This window comes from Homo sapiens, chromosome 6 (genome assembly GCF_000001405.40).
Source record: "Homo sapiens chromosome 6, GRCh38.p14 Primary Assembly".
Classification (NCBI taxonomy): Eukaryota; Metazoa; Chordata; class Mammalia; order Primates; family Hominidae; genus Homo; species Homo sapiens.
Window position 1 is genome coordinate 24,556,812 of NC_000006.12, and position 18,847 is coordinate 24,575,658.

The 18,847-nt window shown below is 43.3% G+C and overlaps 1 protein-coding gene across 21 annotated transcripts in view; it reads right to left on the reverse strand.

Annotated features, from left to right (window-relative positions):
* Positions 1–18,847, reverse strand: part of KIAA0319 — a 106,051-nt gene that overhangs the window by 16,671 nt on the left and 70,533 nt on the right. For 20 of the 21 annotated variants that reach the window (XM_017011546.3, XM_047419602.1, XM_047419604.1 and 17 more), the window contains 7 exons: positions 15,764–15,887; positions 13,092–13,224; positions 11,970–12,118; positions 9,786–9,937; positions 7,391–7,529; positions 6,548–6,707; positions 2,202–2,344 (listed from right to left, as the gene is read on the reverse strand). In XM_017011546.3, coding sequence (XP_016867035.1) covers positions 2,202–2,344; positions 6,548–6,707; positions 7,391–7,529; positions 9,786–9,937; positions 11,970–12,118; positions 13,092–13,224; positions 15,764–15,887 — 1,000 coding nt within the window. The remainder of the gene's footprint in view (positions 1–2,201; positions 2,345–6,547; positions 6,708–7,390; positions 7,530–9,785; positions 9,938–11,969; positions 12,119–13,091; positions 13,225–15,763; positions 15,888–18,847) is intronic. The other variant, NM_001252328.2, reaches the window with a different exon arrangement.

Below are 18,847 nucleotides of genomic sequence, written 5' to 3' on the forward strand. Positions count from 1 at the left end.
TAGGTCCCAAATAAAAGCATCTTGTTGAATTAAGAGCCTCTTACAGTGTGGACAGGGGTTCTGGAGATAGTCTCTCATCACTGACAATCTCATCAGAAAGCAAATGGCAGAAAAAGCCAGTCCACACCACGCAGCAAAAGCCTTAAAAATATTGGGAGGCCGAGGTGGGCAGATCACAAGGTCAGGAGATCCAGACCATCCTGACCAACATGGTGAAACCCCATCTCTACTAAAAATACAAAAATTAGCTGGGCATGGTGGCACATGCCTGTAGTCCCAGCTACTCAGGGGGCTGAAGCAGGAGAATCACTTCAACCAGGGAGTTGGAGGTTGCAGTGAGCCGAGATCGCGCCACTGCACTCCAGCCTGGTGACAGAGCAAGACTTTGTCTCAAAAAAAAAGTTTACTGGCTGGGTGCGGTTGCTCACGCCTGTAATCCCGGCACTTTGGGAAGCCAAGGTGAGTGGATCACTTGAGGCCAGGAGTTTGAGACCAGCCTGGCCAATATAGCGAAACCCCACCTCTACTAAAAATACAATAAATTAGCTGGGCGTGATGGTGTGCGCCTGTAATGCCAGCTACTCAGGTGGCTGAGGCACGAGAATCACTTGAACCCAGGAGGCAGAGGTTGCAGTGAGCCGAGATCACACCGCTGCACTGCAGCCGGGGCAACAGAGGGACAGAGCTAGACTCAAAAAAGTAGCAAAAACATAACATTGTCTGGCCTAAGAAAATAATTCTAAGTATTTATCTGGAGTGCAATGGCAATTATTGAGGACATGCCCAAAGATTTATCTACATTATAGCATTATCTTTAAAACCAACCCTAAAACCCATGGATAAGAAACTGGTTGCATAATTATGGAGCATATCCAGGGTAGAATACTATGTGGCCATAAAAATTTTATTGAAGAGAAATTTTAAAGGATTGGGGAACATAATCATAATATACTTTTTTTTTTTAAGAGACAAGGTCTTGTTGCTATGTTGCTGTGGCTGGTCTCAAACTCCTAGCCTCAAGACATCCTCCCTCCTCAGCCTCTGGAGTAGCTGGGATTACAGGCATGTGCTACTGTTCCTGGCTCATAATATGATTTGAAGTTAAAAATCAGATTAAAAATATATATCATGTCATCCTGATTGTAGAGATGGTGGAACTGGAAAAACATATATCAGAGTATTAATAAAAATTTTCTTTGGATGGTGAGAATTTTGGACCTAGAATTTAGAGAATTATTTTCCTCTTTGTGCCTCTCTGGATATTCTAAATTTTGTACAATAAATAAATATTATTTTTGTAGCTAGAAAAAAAAAGGAGTTATTGGCTGGGCGTGGTGGCTCAGCACTTTGGGAAGCTGAGGTGGGTGGATCACTTGAGGCCAGGAGTTTGAGAACAGCCTGGCCAACATGGCTAAGGCTCTACTAAGCCATGATGGCTAAGGCCATCTCTACTAAAAATACCAAAAAAAAAGAAAAGAAAAAAGGAGTTATTAAAAATTAAGTTACTCCATATTATAATTGAGAAAGTCAATTGTAGATGGATATATATATATCTAGATAGATAGATAGATAGATAGATAGATAGATAGATAGATATCTGAAACAAATTAAATTTTACTGCCCAAACATTATCATTTCCCTTGTAACTCTCATTTCCCTGGAGTCTACTGAAATAACCACTTCAACATAACAAGAGATTCATGTTACTCATGAAATAAAGATAGAAACAATGGGACTATGAATCATTTGAGTACCCTGGAAGGGGTGGTGAGCATGGAGCTAAGAAAAGAGGCACACCTGGAGAAGGCATTTGCAAGCTGTCTTAAATTTTCAAGGAGCTACATGACATTATCATCACAACCTAAGGCATGATGTCCAAGGTAAATAAATTATATAAACATGGCTTTTGCAGCCAGTAACACTTATTTGTCTTTAACACTGTTCTTTCTGCCAATAGCCATTATCTTGTGAGTATAATCTTAACTTTAGGCCCATAATTATTATTGTTTTCCATTTTTCTTCCAAGACCAAGAGTAGTTGGCAAATGCATGCTGCAGGAAACTCTATTGGAGAAATAAATGTAAAACAAGTCCCTGGATGCTAAAGTGAAAATGTTCACATGTCACTCCTCTTCTATGTTTGTCAAACTTATCCATGATTGGCAAGTCTGATTGTTTTAGAATATTCCATAGGAGACCTACCTGCTGTATCAACCCTCAAGACCTTGAAAAGCAAGAAGTCAGCCTTCTCCTTTGAGAGCCGCATGTGCAGATTTCGGGCCACTTCAGCAGCTTTGAGAACCTTGAAAGGCGGCCTGCTCTGTACATAAAACACAATCACGGTGCTGTGGAGGAGACAATGAGAGAGGACAGCCACATGGTCAGATGGTGACTACCATGACACGCCCACCACAGCATCTGACCTGTGAAACTGGGGAGGTAGACGGCTACAGCTCTGTGGCTTGCCAAGGACAGGGGCGTATCTGTGAGCCAAGGAATTGATGTTTCTATTCACAAAGCCTCTTCAGTCTCAACGTACAGCTGATCAAAGACAGACAGATCTTCAGATAAAAGAAGCAATGTGTAAATTATGTATCAGTTTTTGAAAATCCTAACCAAATGGGTCTGGAGAGCTATCAGGTTAGTGAACAAGAATGCATCTATGTGCTGGGATGTATGAAGTGTTACATCCATGGGGATGGAAGCTCCCATGCACAGGACCCTTCTAGATCTTGCCCTATGTACCTTTTCATCTGGCTGTTCATTTGTATCCTTTAATATATTCTTTGCAATAAATCCATAATAGTAAAAAAAAAAAAAGGAGCAATGTATAAATGTGTGCAAAAAGACAAATATACACAAAATAACTTGCAGACATGTCTTTCTTTTTACCTTTTTTTGATTGAGATATAACTTACATATCATAAAATTCACGCTTCTAAAGTGTAAATGGAATGGCTTTTAGTATATTCACAAAGTTGCACAACCATCACCACTATCAAATTTCAAAACATCTTCATCACCCCAGAAAGACAATCCACACTCATTAGCACCTCCTCCCCACAGTCCCGGGCAACCACTAATCTGCTTTTGGTCTCTATGGATTTGCCTCTTCTGGACACTTCAGATAGATGGAATCATACAATATGAGACCTTCTGTGTGTGGCTTCTTTCACTTACCATCATGTTTTCAAAGTTCATCCATGTTGTAGCACACATCAATACTTTATTCCTTTTTATTGCCAAATGATATTCTGTTGTATGAATATATCACATTTTGTATCCACTCATCAGCTGGTGGACACTTGAGTTGCTTCCACATTTTGGCTATTATGAATTTGTGCTATGAACATTCATATACAAGTTTCTGTGTAGACATAAGTTTTTCATTTTTATTGAGTATATACCTAGGAGTGGAATTAATGGGTTATATGGTAGCTGTATGCTTAGCATATTGAGGAACTGCCAAACTGTATTCCACAGTGGCTGTACCATTTTACATCCCCACTAGCAATGTATAAATGTTCCAGTTTCTCCACAGGCTCGCCAGCACTTGCTATGGTCTGTCTTGGATTCTAGCCATCCTAGCAGGTGTGAAGTGATATTTCAACATGGGTTTGGTTGGCATTTTCCTGGTGGCTAATGGTGAGCACCTTTTCATGTGCTTATTGGCCATCTGTATATCTTCTTTGGAGAAATAGCTACTCCAATCTGTATTCATCCCCTAGGGTTGCTGTGAAACACGTCCCACGAAGTGGCTTAAAACAACAGAAACCTCTTCTCACAGTTCTGGAGGCCAGAAGTCCAAAATCAAAGTGTTCTGTTAGCTCTGGTGCTGCCAGCAATCCTTGGTATTCCTTGGCTTGTGGAAGAATCTCTCCAGTCCCTGCCTCGGTCGTTACATGGTGTTCTTCCTGTGTGCCTCTCTCTATGTCTCTTGTCCTCTTCTTAGAAGAACACCAGTCATATTGATTTAAAAGCCCACCCTACTCCAGTATAACTTCTTAACTAATTACATCTGTAATGACCCTATTTCTAAGTAAGGTGACATTCATAGGTACCAGAGGTTAGGGCTTGACTATATTTTGGTGGGGGGCAGGGGGTGGATATAATTCAACCCACGGCAAGTGTTTCATCATGAAAGGGTGTTGGATTTTGTCAAATGCTTTTTCTGTGCCTATTGAGATGATCCTGTGGTTTTGTCCTTTATCCTATTAATGTGGTTTATGACATTTATTGATTTTTATATGCTGAACCACACTTGCATTCCTGGGATAAATCCCACTTGGTTATGGTCTATAAACCTTGTAATAAGTTGCTGGATTCAGTTTGATAGTATTTTGTTGTAGATTTTTGCTTCTATATTCACAAGGGATATTGGTCTGTAGTTCTCATTTCTTGTGATGTCTTTGTCTGATTTTAGTGTCAAGGTAAAACTGGTCTTACTGAATGAGTTGGGAAATGTTCCCTCCTCTTCTATTTTTTGGAAGTTTGTGAAGGACTGTTCATTCTTTAAACATTTTGCAGAATTAATCAGTGAAGCCATCTGGTCTTGAATTTTGTGGAAAGTTTTAACATTACTAATTCAATCTCTTTATTTGTTATAGGTCTATTTAGATTTTTAAGTTCTTCTCAAGTGAGTTTTTGTAATTTATGTCTGTTTAGGAATTTGTCCACTTAATCTAGGTTATCTAATGTGTTGACATACAATGATCCATAATATTCTCTTATAATCCTCCCCCACCCACATTTTTTGGAGACTGGGTCTCATTCTGTTGTCCAGGCTGGAATGCAATGGTGTGAACATGGCTCACAGCAGCCTCAACCTCCCAAGTGATCCTCTCACCTCAGCCTCCTGGGTAGCTGAGACCATGGGCGTGTGCCACCATGCCTGGCTAATTTTTTTTTTTTTTAAGATGGAGTCTCGCTCTGTCACCCAGGCTGAAGTGCAGTGGCGCGATAGCTCACTGCAACCTCTGCCTCCTAGGTTCAAGCAATTATCCTGCCTCAGCCTCTTGAGTAGCTGGAATTACAGGTACCTGCCACCACACCCAGCTAATTTTTGTATTTTTAGTAGAGACGAGGTTTCGCCATGTTGGCCAGGCTGGTCTTGAACTCCTGACCTCAAGTGATCTGCCCACCTCGGCCTCCCAAAGTGCTGGGATTACAGGCGTCAGCCACCGCACCTGGCCACCTGGCAAGTTTTTTGTGGAGATAGCATTTCGCCATTGCCCAGGTTGGTCTCGAACTCCTGGGTTCAAGCTATCTGCCTGCCTTGGCCTCCCAAAGTGTTGGGATTACAGGTATGAGCCACTGCATCCAGCCCTTTTTATTTCTATAAAGTCAGTAGTAATGTGCCTTATTTCATGCCTAATTTTAGTAGTATGAGTCTTCTCTATTTTTTCTTAGTCAATCTAGCTAAGGATTTATCAATTTTGCTGATCTGTCCAAGAAACAACTTTTGGTTTTGTTGATTTTCAGACATGTCTTTGATTCAGTATTTTATATTTTACGAGGGAAATATATGATCCATTTTAGAAAGAGTTCCTTAGAAAATAATTAGAACATGTTTAAATTTGGTGTTTTTCTAAGTGAACTTCAGTTCTCTGGAAAACTAACCAAAGTGGAAGAGCTGACAATAGCTAGGCAAATGGAGTTACTGTGAATAGTGGGTTTTCATTCCCATATTCTTTTTCTCCCTCCTCCCACTCCACCCTGAGCTAGATAAGACTTTAAAAGTAAAATTCAGCCAGGCATGGTTGCTCACACTTATAATCCCAGCACCCTGGGAGGCCTAAGTGGGCGAATCACTTGAGGTCAGGAGTTTGAGACCAGCCTGGTCAACAAGATGAAACCCTGCCTCTACTAAAAATACAGAAATTAGCCGGGTATAGTGGGGGCACCAGTAGTCCCAGCTACTCAGGTGGCTGAGGCAGGAGAATCACTTGAATCTGAAAGGCGGAGGTTACAGTAAGCTGAGACCATGCCACTGCACTTTAGCCTAGGCAACAGAGCGAGACCCTGTCTCAAAAAATAAAAATAAAATAAAATAATAAATAGATTAAATAAATAAAACTCAATTAAATACAAAGATGTCATGAAAAATAAAGGCCAGAGTTTCAGCCTCATATACTCCCAGGAGATGGCAAATGGTAATCAGTGATCCTTTCACATTGAGAGAAGCCTCAGTCCCCATGAACGTGGGGCAGGGATGCAGCCCAGCTGTGAGACATCCTCTTCACATGCTCCAGACCCCTTGCCCAGCTCTGAAGACACCAGAGCTAACAACCGTCTCCCCTGCTGTTCCCCAGCACCTCCTTCACTCAGAACATTCCCAATCAGCAAACATTTACTGAGAATTTTAGGAAGGACCTAGCATGATGTTGGCCATACTACTGCCCTTTGAGAAAAAAAGTATATGAATGGGATAAAAGTGTGTCAAAAATACAAAAGTAGCAGAGGAATGAACAGTTTTCTACTGGACTGGGATGAGGTAAGAGCTGGAATTTTGTACGGCCAAGGCCCCGCCTTGAGTGTGCAGCTCCTACCTGAGATCCGAGTGGGCCCGAATCTTCTGGACCTTAATGTCCGAGTCCAGCACGTTCAGCAGCACAGCCAGCTGCCTCACAAGGGTGTCCTTCCGCTGCTCTGTCAGCTGCCCAACACCAACCTGCAGGGTCAGCTCCACCAGGCCACTCTTCCTAGGGTCTGGGGAAAGAGAAGATACAGGATTTGCACTTGGACATTTGCACAGGCTTTAGAGCATAAGGAGCGAGGTTTCTATAGGAGCTCAAAGTTACTCCTATGCCATTTCTACATTTGAGTTGTAGCACTCAGGTAAATTCTTCTAAACACCGCAAAGGCCACTATCTGGGAGTACTTTCCCTTGTTTTATCACAGTTTGTTGTTTATAATTTTTTTTCCAGAAGATAATCGGGTGTACCTAATTAGCCTCTGGGCTAGCTGAAAATTTCAGCCTCTTCCACATTTTCCCAGGACCAGAAAGAGAATTTTGCTTCCAAGTGCCAATGGGCACTTCCCAGTCCAGTTTATGCTGAGGTCGTTACAGCCACTTCACTGGAGCTGCCTCCCTCTGTGCCCTGGTATGAGGCCCTTGTGTCCACTTCACATTAAGTCTTTGTCTTCTGGCAGGAAAACAAACATGAAAAGAAAATCTAGTTGCCAGATAACATTCTCTTTTAAAGAGTGATGAGGCTGGATCTATCTGGGGATACACAACAAGGTGTAAGAGACATCCTCAAAGTGGGTCCAGCCAAGAGCTGGAGCCAGCCACAGGAGGCCTCCCACACTGGTCACATCTGTCAGCGTAAAGACCCCAAAGGCTGACCAGCCAGAGCCTGCATGGCCAGCTCCAGAGCCCAGGAACTCACCTGGCTGCACTTCCACAGTGGCAGTGTCTGTGTCCGAGGCCCCCTGACTGTCGGTGACTCGCAAGTGGAAAGTGTACACCCCCTCCACCAGATTCGTAAGCTGCAGAGCCACACTGTGGTCAGAGCCATCGATGACATCCTGCGAAAGAACACGGATCACAGGGCAGCTGTCAATCCTCGGGTCCCAATTTCTGGGCTTCTGTTGATCCTAAACCTCAGTGTCCCATCTTTTTAACACAGGCGTGACTTTAAGAGGGAGGCTGCAGGGAATGAGGCTGGCGGGATAGCTAAAGACTGGAGAAATCCTCAGCATCTCTTCCCCAAAAAGCACCAGGGGGCACATCCTCAGACAGTATTTCCTGAACTGAACTAAGTTTACCAAGCACTTTCCAGGAATTACCAAATAATTAATTGTATCCAACAAAGGGAAAGACCATTTGAATTAGGGCAAGGACGCTGAGAACAAAGCACAGGTTTTCTGGGTCTTATTTTCAAACATAGCTTTACAAAACTCTCATCTTGAATTCCCTCATAATGTATCATGTTCACCTGAAATAACCCAAGACCCTGTGTAGCGTCCTCTGTTCTGTGGGCTTCTAAGCTCCAAAGAATGAGAGAAGAACCTCCCAGACTCCTGCTAATAGAAGGGGTGATAACGAATATGTGCTGTGAACAGAGACTCATTGTTATTACATTTAGAGGCTAATCCCCCATCTAGTTGAATAGTGTTAATTCTAGAAGTGCTTAGAAAGTATAAAGCATTTGGCAGGGCATGGTGGCTCACGCCTGTAATCCCACCACTTTGGGAGGCAAAGGCAGGCGGATCACGAGGTCAGGAGATCGAGAACATCCTGGCTAACAAGGTGAAACCCCGTCTCTACTAAAAATACAATACAAAAAAATTAGACAGGCGTGGTGGTGGGCACCTGCAGTCCCAGCTACTCGGGAGGCTGAGGCAGGAGAATGGCTTGAACCTGGGAAGTGGAGCTTGCAGTGAGCCTAGATCGCACCACTAAACTCCAGTCTAGGTGACAGAGCGAGACTCGGACTCAAAAAAAAAAAGTATAAAGCATTTTCAGTTCCTTCCCTGTGACCACTCCTTAGTACATCTCCAAGACTAAATCTGTATCTCTCCAGTCCTTAGAAATGGCAGGAATGAAGACGTACATACATTTATGTCCTAAGAGGCAGAGTGATCTAATGGGGGTAAAATGCCTGCCAGGAGCTAAAAACCTAGGTGTGTCTAGTTTGATTAAAAATGGATTAGTTAAGGCTGGGCGCGGTGGCTCACGCCTGTAATCCCAGTACTTTGGGAGGCCGAAGCGGGTGGATCACAAGGTCAAGAGATCAAGACCATCCTGGCCAACATGGTGAAACCCCATCTCTACTAAAACTACAAAAATTAGCTGGACGTGGTGGCACGTGCCTGTAGTCCCAGCTACGCGGGAGGCTGAGGCAGGAGAATAGCTCGAACTCGGGCAGCGGAGGTTGCAGTGAGCCGAGATTGCGCCACTGCACTACAGCCTGGGCGATAGAGTGAGACTCCATCTCAAAAAAAAAAAAAAAAAAAAAAGAACAAAAGAAATGGATTAGTTAACCTCGGCCAAGTCACTTCTCATCTCTGCATTTCGCCTTCTGCATCTATAAAACGTAAATAGCAATCCGTGATCTATTGACTCATCTGGTACAATATGAGGAACAGAAAAGAATCCACTTGGACCAAAATACGAAGGATGGAAAAGCATCCTGCTGGAAGACTTGACCTCAAAGTGCTTCCAAGCTATGGTTTCCTGCCCCATCCAAAGTCTGTTCAGGAAAAAGTCAGAAAGGATTTCAGCTTTTGGCTAAATCTCAAAGCAGCCTACTGCCTCCAGCCTTCAGAACATTCTAATGTAGAAGCATAAGCACCTTACAGGGAACAGGGAAAGAGAGATGAGGTCATTATAGAGACACTGCCGTGGACCGAACTGTGTCTTTCCCAGACTCCTGTGTTGAAGCCCTAACCCCATATGACTGTATCTAGAAATAGGACCTATAAGGAAGTAGTTAAGGTTAATTGAGGTCATAAGGGTAGGCCCCTGATCCAATAGGATTTACTGTCCTTATAAGAAGAGACACCAGAGTGCTCTCTCTTCCCCTGCTATGGGAGGACATGGTAAGAAGGCAGCTGTCTGCAAGCCAGGAAGAAAGACCTCACTGGAAACTGAATTAGCCAGCAACTTGAGCCTGTCTTCCCAGCCTCCATAATGGAGACAAAATTAAGTTCTGTTGTTTAAGCCTCCTTATACTTATATCCTTTCCTTAGAATATACCGTGATATATTGTTTGCAGCCCAAGCTGACTAATGCAGATGTAATGATAAGTGGTCTAGGAGCAATTCTCTCTCAGTACTCACTCCAGCTGCTGGACTCTGGCCATCCCGGATCCACAGATAGGACACAATTCTTTGGTCATCAGTAGACCTTGAACCATCCAAAGTAATGGAATTATTGGGAAGCACAAGAACATGTCTGCCACCAGCCCGGGCTCTGGGAGGACTATTATTTTCTAAGTCAAATATAGCAAAATGAAAGCAAAGAGATTGATTTAAAACACCAGTGATAGAATAAGTGTGTCATAAAACATCCACAACTCTTCCACCTTGCAGATACAGTATGTAGAATTAAAATATCCAAAAAGGCATTTTTTTCCCCAGATGCATATAAGATACAGACTTCCTTAAAGCTCCATTTGTACTTAGTTAGCTATAATTTGGGATGAAAACGGTAAAGCAGGTGGCAAGCTGTACCTTGGGAATTTTTCTAATATTGTTATACCTTTTCTGTCCTTGAAAAATAGAAACAATGATTTTACCAACATTTAGGGTATTGAAAGTGGCAATATTTTGGTTTACAATATACTTTGGGTCATTTTGTACTGGTCCACACTATCTGGCCAGAAATATTTCCACTTCAAGTACTGCCAAATCTTGACTCTCTAAGACAAAAAAAAAGAAAAAAAAAATTTGAGTAAAAAGTAGGCTGGGTGCAGTGGCTCACACCTGTAATCCCAGCACTTTAGGAGGCCAAAGCAGGAGAATCACTTGAGACCAGGAGTTTGAGACCAGCCGGGGCAACACAACAAGTCTCCATCTCTATGAAAAATTAAAAATTGAAATAATAACAATGATAATTAGGCCCTCACTTCTCTGACTAGGTGTTAAATATAAATGAGGCAATGGCCAGGCATGGTGGCTCATAACTGTAATCCTAACACTTGGGGAGGCTAAGGCAGGATGAGTGCTTGAAGCCAGAAGTTCAAGACCAGCCTGGGTAGCAAGACCCGTCTCCACACACACACAAAATTAAAAATCAGCTGGGCATGGTAACACACACCTGTAGACCCAGCTACTCAGGAAGCTGAGGTGAGAGAATCACTTGAGATCAGGAGTTTGAGGCTGCAATGAGCTATGATCACAGCACAGTACTCCAGTCCGAGCAACAGAGTGAGACCCTGGGTCTATTTTAAAAATAAAAAAATGAGGCAATGTAAAAGCCATTTCTGATGTAATAACTTCAGAAAAGAGGGGCCAGGGAGCACTAACAACACTGGGGTACAGTGGGGAGATCATAATAAGACACAGCCTCAATTTGGAGATGAGGCTGCTGTGAGGCAAATCCTGCTTGTCCAGAAGGGGCTCTGGGACCCAGCCTGATCCCTCCCAATTTCCCCTTAGAAACAAGTCAAGATGCCTGTTCAGACTATTCTCTCTACTTTTATGCATGGTTGAAAATCTCTACAATAAAATCTTTTGAAAAATCCAAATCTATATCACTTTGCTGTTAAAGTTGCTTCAGCCTCTCCCAGCTGCCCAGAGGATAAAGTCCAAACCCCTAAGCATGGCCCGTGGCACATACAACCCTCCATGGCAGAGCCTGTGCCTCAGGCTGCAGCCACTCTCCCAGCGTCCCACACTCTTGCCATTCTACAATGCTTGAACCTTTCCATCCAGCCAGGCTCTTATACTCCTCTGCACTTCAACACGTTGTAATCATCCATTCACTAATTCATTCAACACCTCTGATTTGCCATGAGTCTAGCACTCTGCTATACTGAGGCTATACTGAGGATACAGAGATGTCTGAAGCAAAGACACTCAGGCAGTTCACAGTCAAATGGGAAGACAGACAAGGAGACAAGTACCTAAAGCAGTATTCACTAGTCTAGACCACAGATTTCACACTAAGAAACGATATGGAATTTGAAAACATCTCTTTTCTTGAATTTCCAAGGAATAAAGGAAAAAAAGCATAATGGTGTCATTTGGACGTGGGTCTTTCATTACTAGTAGTCACAGAAGAGTGAAGTCATTAGAAGATATGCTCCACAAACAAAAGGAAATGTCTGCTTGCAGAGGGCGACTGAGAAACAGCTAACATGAATAGAAGAAAGTTGGCTTTTTTTCAGCCAGGCAGGGTTCGGCATCTGCTGCGAACAAATAAGCAAACACCAACATCTCTGAATAGTCATGGCCTGGCTGAGGGTCCTGCAGACTCGAAAGCAGAGCAGGCCCAGCCCTGTCCACCTCAGACCCACTCACCCTTCTTCACAGCCACAGTGAGGGTGGACGTGCTGCTCAGTCCCTGCTGGTCTTTCACTGTCAAACGGAAGTGGTAGGTCCCCACCTGGAGACCAGTCACAGTGGCTATTGCTTTGTCAATATTTTCCATCTCCACTGCACTGGGGCCTCTATAAAACATAGAAGTGGTTAACATAAGGGAGGGGGCATGGGGTTTTGAATATGACAGGCATGCGATTTGTGCTCTTATAAATGTTTTGTTCCAGCTATAATATATACCATTTAGAGAATTCTAAGAAAACTCCATTCATCTGTACTCTCTAGTTCAGTGTAAGAGTCACAAGCTAAAACCTATCTCAGGCAGAGTCTGCTGGATTACTGGGAAGAGAATATTTGTTCTCGATTTTTTTAAGTCAAGCTGCCAGTGAAATGATCTATCCTTGGAAAATGAGCCTTAGAAACGACTCCCATTTCTTCTTTGAATAAAATTAGGTGAAATCCTCATCTATCTTTAGGGAGAGCATGGAAGAGGAGGGAATAAGCCAGATAAGCCCTCTCCTAGGAGAGAGATCACAGTATAGTCACTAAGATCGGGGCTTGTCAAAAATACCTCAGTTTGGGTCCAAGCTCTTTCTCTTACTATCTGGGCAACCTTAGTCTGTGTGGTCTCATTAGTGTCTACAAGCCTCAGTTTCTTCAACTTTAAATAGGAATAATATTCTTATTTATCTCTTACAAACTGATACAGGGTTCTATGAGACAGAGCATGTAAAGCTCAGAAAATGTTAGATGATATGGGTCGCCCCTTACACTGCACTTCTGGTGTCTACAGTCACTGCAGGATGGGTTGAGTGTAGACAGGATCACACACAGGTTTCCCTGAACCTCTTCTGTCATGAGCTCGCCTCACACCAAGACAGCCCTGTTCAACTGCCCCAAGCTCTACCTCCCTCCGCTGTCAATGATGTCCATCCACACTTAATGTACTCTTCAATCAATAACGCCCAGCCACTTCTAGAAACGTGCTTAAATCCCGACTCCTCAAAATGCGCAAGCTGATTGTTTACTACAGATCCTCCAGAGAAGGGATAATATTAGCATTCAGCATGGGCATGAACCTAGCTCAGTGGCGAGACAGACTACCTGACGTGCTCCCAGTGGTAGAAGACAATGCCGTGGTCATCGCTGCTGCTGCTCCCATCCAGGGTAGCACTTTCCACTGGGAAGATCAGCTCTTTATCAGGGCCGGCCACAGCCACTGGAGGTCTATTGTTTTCTGGAATTACAGAAACAGTGTGAAAAAGTATTATCTCTTTGCATTAAGTCTGCAATCCTGTGATTTCTTGATTTAAGTACATTACTCATCTTCAGACCAGGCAGCCACTAGAGTATGCAGCATCCTTTGGAATCCTGGAGTGAAGCACTGCAGCCTCCTAGCTGATCCAGGAGTTGAACAGTCCAAGTTCAAGACTGCTGTTATAGGCAGCCAAGAAACACTGTCTCTAATAGACACATCTTTGGTTTATTTGGTTTAAAAGATCCTCAGTCGGCCGGGCACAGTGGCTCACGCCTGTAATCCAGCACTTTGGGAGAACGAGGCGGGCGGATCACGAGGTCAGGAGATCAAGACCATCCTGGCTAACACGGTGAAACCCCGTCTCTACTAAAAATACAAAAAATTAGCCAGGTGTGGTGGCAGGCGCCTGTAGTCCCAGCCACTCGGGAGGCTGAGGCAGGAGAATGGCATGAACCCGGGAGGCGGAGCTTGCAGTGAGCCAAGATTGTGCCACTGCACTCCAGCCTGGGAGACAGAGCAAGATCCGTCTAAAAAAAAAAATCGTCATAGGGTGAAAGAGAAGGAAAGGAAAGAAGGGTAAAATGAGAGAGGGAAGAAGGGTTGGGGGAGGAAGGAAAGAGAGAGGAAGGAAGGGAGGGAGGAAGAGAGAGAGGGAGGGAGGGGACAAAGGGACATCACAGAGAGGGAGGGAGGGGACGTTGATGTGAAGAGACCTGCTTTATCAGGTAGGGCTTACTTCCTTTTGTCTCTGTAGCCTCAGTGCTAACACAGTGCCTGGTAAACAGTAAATATTCAAAACATTTTAAATTAAATGTTAAACAAAAGTAAAAGATATAAAGTATTGCTGATATTGGCAGGGCGTGGTAGTTCACGCCTGTAATCCCAGCACTTTGGGAGGCCGAGGCAGGGGATCACTTGAGGCCAGGAGTTCAAGACCAGCCTGGCCAACGTGGCGAAACTCTGTGTTTCTATTAAAAATCCAAAAATTAGCCAGGCATGGTGGCACACATCTGTAATCCCAGCTATTCAGGAGGCTGAGGCACTAGAATCATTTGAACCCGGGAGGCAGAGATTGCAGTGAGTCAAGATCATGCCACTGCACTCCAGCCTAGACGACAGAGTGAGACTCTGTCTCGAGGGAAAAAAAAAAAGTATTGCTAATATTGATATAAATAGATAAAATATGTGTAAACCAAAAAAAAGGGCCAGGTGTAGTGGCTTACACCTGTAATCCCAGTACTTTGGGAGGCCAAAGGTGAGAGAACTGCTTGAGTCCAGGAGTTTGAGACCAGCCTGGGCAACAAAGTGAGACCCTGTCTCACAAAAAAAAAAAAAAAAAGAAGTCATGTAGTCAAAAGCTGTGGCAGCCATTACCCAATGTTTGCACCACGCCACAGCCCCCATGATCCTACTCACTACAAAATAGGGGTTTCCCTTTGCCGTAGGATAGAGTACTTGGGTGACCATACATTTACAAAGCCCTTTAGGATGGTGCCCCGGGCTCTCTTGGGGTCATCTATTGTCATTCCAATCCCTGCCCAACCTCCCCACCACCTCCCATTCCCACATCCCTACCTCTTTTTCTCTCTCTCCAATCACAGTAATTCCTTTTAAATCTTCGAATGTACCAGACTCTCTTCTTTGGCGCCCACGCATACTGTTCCCTCTGCCTAAGAACTCTTCCTCTTCTCCTGTGCTGCCCACCCCTCCCATTCTTCACCGACTAACTGTGACTTGTGCTTCAACCTTGAGCTCATGTACGAGCTCTTTGCAGATGCATCTCACCCAGGTGAGTGCTCTTTCTTTGGGGTCCTGTAGCACCCTGCAGTTATTTTAGTAGAGCGCCAATCACAGAGTTTTATGTGAACTTCTCCATAAGCCCTGCAAGGGCAGAGATCAAGTCTATCTTGTTTAATTCCACATCCCAGGGTCTAACTAATAGAACTTTTTATGTATTAGCGGCATAAATAAATAAGTTGTCTATAGGTTGAGTATAATCTCATTGCCAGGAACTGGATAGAGGTTCTTGGACTAACAGAACTCTTCTAGAAAAGTTCTAAGGCAAAGACCATTATCAAACAAAGGTATAGCTACCTTTAAGGTTATTTAACTCAGGAGGTAGGCAGAGCCCTGGGTTTTCATGAAACTATTAATGAACAGTGACACTGAACTGCAACGTGTTCCCCAATGTCTGGCTACATCTGAGTGTCAAGCCACACATAAGAACCAGCCCCTTCAAGATCCCCTGGAGCTCTCCAGAGCAGACTGGGGCACGTGTGGAAGCATCCACAAGGCAAATCGGAGCCCACAAGCAGTGCTGTGGATGGCTCTCATTTCATCCTTCATGCCATAGTTTACAGTCAAGGCAAGATTTAGAACCTTGAAATGAAATTAGTTTTATATGGAGCTTTGGCACCCACAGGCCGGTACCACCAAGTGTGGCATCTCCAAACCCCAGAAGCCCAGCTATCATTTCTGCTTTAATCTCTGAGGCCAAATCTCTTTCTCCTCCACCTACCAGGCTGGACAATCACAGTCACCACAGCAGTAGACTGTTGCCTTGAAGAATCTGTCACCTTCAGCTGAAATGTATAATCTCCTTCCTGCATTGCAGATAAATGAAGGTATGGCGTCTGTACTCCCTAAGTAATAGCAAATACAAAAATAAAAACAAAACAAAACAAAAAAGTAAAGAAGCACAAGTAAATAGTATGACAGAATGAAAAACTAACAATTTTACTTAATACAGAGATCTTGCTCAAAAAAGAAATGTGTTTGGCCAGGCACGGTGGTTCACATCTGTAATCCCAGCACTTTAGGAGGCCAAGGCAGGTGGATCACTTGAGGTCAGGAGTTCGAGACCAGCCTGGCCAACATGGTGGAACCCCGTCTCTACTAAAAATATATTTTAAAAATCAGCTGGGCATGATGGCGGGCACCTGTAATCCCAGCTACTTAAGAGGCTGAGGCACGAGAATCACTTGGAACACGGGAGAGGGAGGTTGCAGTGGGCTGAGACTGCACCACTGCACTGCAGCCTGGTTGACAGAAAAAAGAAAAAAATATGTTGGTCCCCAGGAAAGTGCAACTGAAAGTCTACTGTGCATCCTCATACACTATTGAAGGAGTGTAAACTACCATAGGCTTTTTGGAAGCCAGTATGAAAACAGCTATTAAAATATTAAATAAGCACATACTCCAACCCAGTAATTCGACTTCTTAGTATCTACCCCAGAGAAATGCACAAGGAGACTCGTCCATGGATGCTGACTGAAGAACAGTCTATCACAGCAAAACATGGAAACAATCTACACATCCATCAACAGGAGGATGGTCAAACACACTATGATACACTGTGGAATGCTAGTTTAAAAGAAAGAAGTTTAAAATCATGAGGCAGGTTTATAAGTACTAAAATGGAAAATGTCAAAGAAATATTAAGCAAAAAAAAGAAAGTTGGGTCGCATTCAAAAGCAAACAGTAAAAAAATTTTTAAAGAAATCCACACAAAAAAGAAATTTGTGGAACAATGCATACAATGTGAAAGGTATTGCTACATGTACATACGCACACTTACACAGACACATGGAAAAGATTCTGGAAGTGTACACATTAAACTGATAAAAGTAATTATTTCCAATAAGGACACTTGGATGACAGTGGTGATCAATTTATTTGAACTTATTTTAGCAGAATTTATTTGAGCTTTTTTATTATTATTTTTTTTAACCACAAGAGGCAATTCATGTATTAGTTTTGTAATCAAAAATAATTTTTTGGCTGGGTGCAGTGGCTCATGCCTGTAACCCCAGCACTTTGGGAGGCTACGGCGGGTGGATCATGAAGTCAGGAGTTCAAGACCAGCCTGGCCAAAATGGTGAAACCCCGTCTCTACTAAAAATACAAAAATTATTCGGGCGTGGTGGCAGGCACCTGTAATCCCAGCTACTCAGGAGGCTGAGACAGAAGAATCACTTGAACTCAGGGGGTGGAGGTTGCAGTGAGCCAAGATGGTGCCACTGCACTCCAGCCTGGGCCACAGAGTGAGACTCTGTCTCAAAAAAGAAAAAATTAATAATAATAAAAACAACTTTTTGCCGGGTGTGGTGGCTCATGCCTGTGATCCTAGCACTTAGGGAGGCCAAGGCGAGAAGATTTCTTGAGCCCAGGAGTTAGAGATCAGCCTGGGCAACATGGCAAAATCCCATCTTCACAAAAAAAACCACAAAAATTAGCCAGGTGTAGTGGTGTGTGCCTGTGGTCCTAGCTACTCGGGAGGCTGAGATGGGAGGATCTTTTGAGCCCAGGAGATCAAGGCTACGGTGAGCCATAGTTGCACCACTGCACTCCAGCCTGGGTGACAGAGTGAGACCCTGTTTCATAATAAATAAATAATATAATTTTGTAAAACTCTAAGTCAACCTAAGTTTTTACAAAGTCATTTTTTCAACTGAGTATGCAACAGCTACACTTGGTGACCTCAGGTTAATACCCTTTCTTTTTTGTCGTTGGTAATAATTTCAATTATTGCTTATGTTTGAAGTTCATGGCATCATGAAATGGATTTTTAAGTCTTATTACAATTTATTTACTTTTATAGATCCCAAGATTGTCTATAGATAAATGTTTCTATGTGTATTTTTTAAGGTTTTAATGGAAAATTTAAAAAGAAAATTGTTACAAGATCCATTGTGCTACCAGGGGAACTTCTGAAATTTGAAATGCACCCTTTTAAGAACTTTTGAAAAAAAAATACTTTCCCCTACTTTGACTAAGTAAGGCAAAGCACGTTTCTCTGAAAAGTTCAACAGGGAAAGTATAATTTCCCAGGAGTTGCCTCCAAATTGATCTGGTACGAGAATGCTTCTGCACACAATGGAAGGGAATGTTGTGGCAAATGGGAACTGAGCAGACTACTGTGTCTCACCAATGCCCTCAAGGCGGCCACATGTTTCAGGCAATTGCAAAGGTTTCACTTCCTTCCCAGTAAGAACACAGCCTCAGCAGGCTGCTTGGTACAATTTTCAGACAAATATAAAAGGGTCTGATTCACAGACCTCATTTTGTGATTGCCCCAGTTAATACTCCTTTGGACATCTTAATCAAGCTTAAGGCAATAAGGTTGTTACTGTGGATATTCTTCGGGGAAAGAAGAGAGAGGGTGTCTGGCAACTGGGCTGGTGTGTAGAGGCAAGGCTCACAGTGTGGCCCAGCCCTCAGGAACTTTGGATACACATCCAGTATGCATGGATGGATTTTGGAGTATTAGCTTTGGATGCATAATTCCTAATAATTAAGTAAAAGAAAATTAGGAAGATTTTTTTTAACCGTGAAAATAAAAAATATCCCATCTTCCTGTTTTGTATCCAACCCGCCTCTGAATCAGAATTCTTAACACAACAGAAGCAAACATAGCACTTGCTACAACCCTTAGGTAGAGATGGACACCACCAAGAGGGTTCTCCAAGGATATCCAGACAACTCATGGCTCTTTCAAGTTCCATAAATCTACCTAGTCACTTTTAACTCCTCATAATTGCAAGGCATGTTCCAGGAACACTGGAAAGCAAAGCAGGTAAGTTTCCATGGAATGTCCGATTTT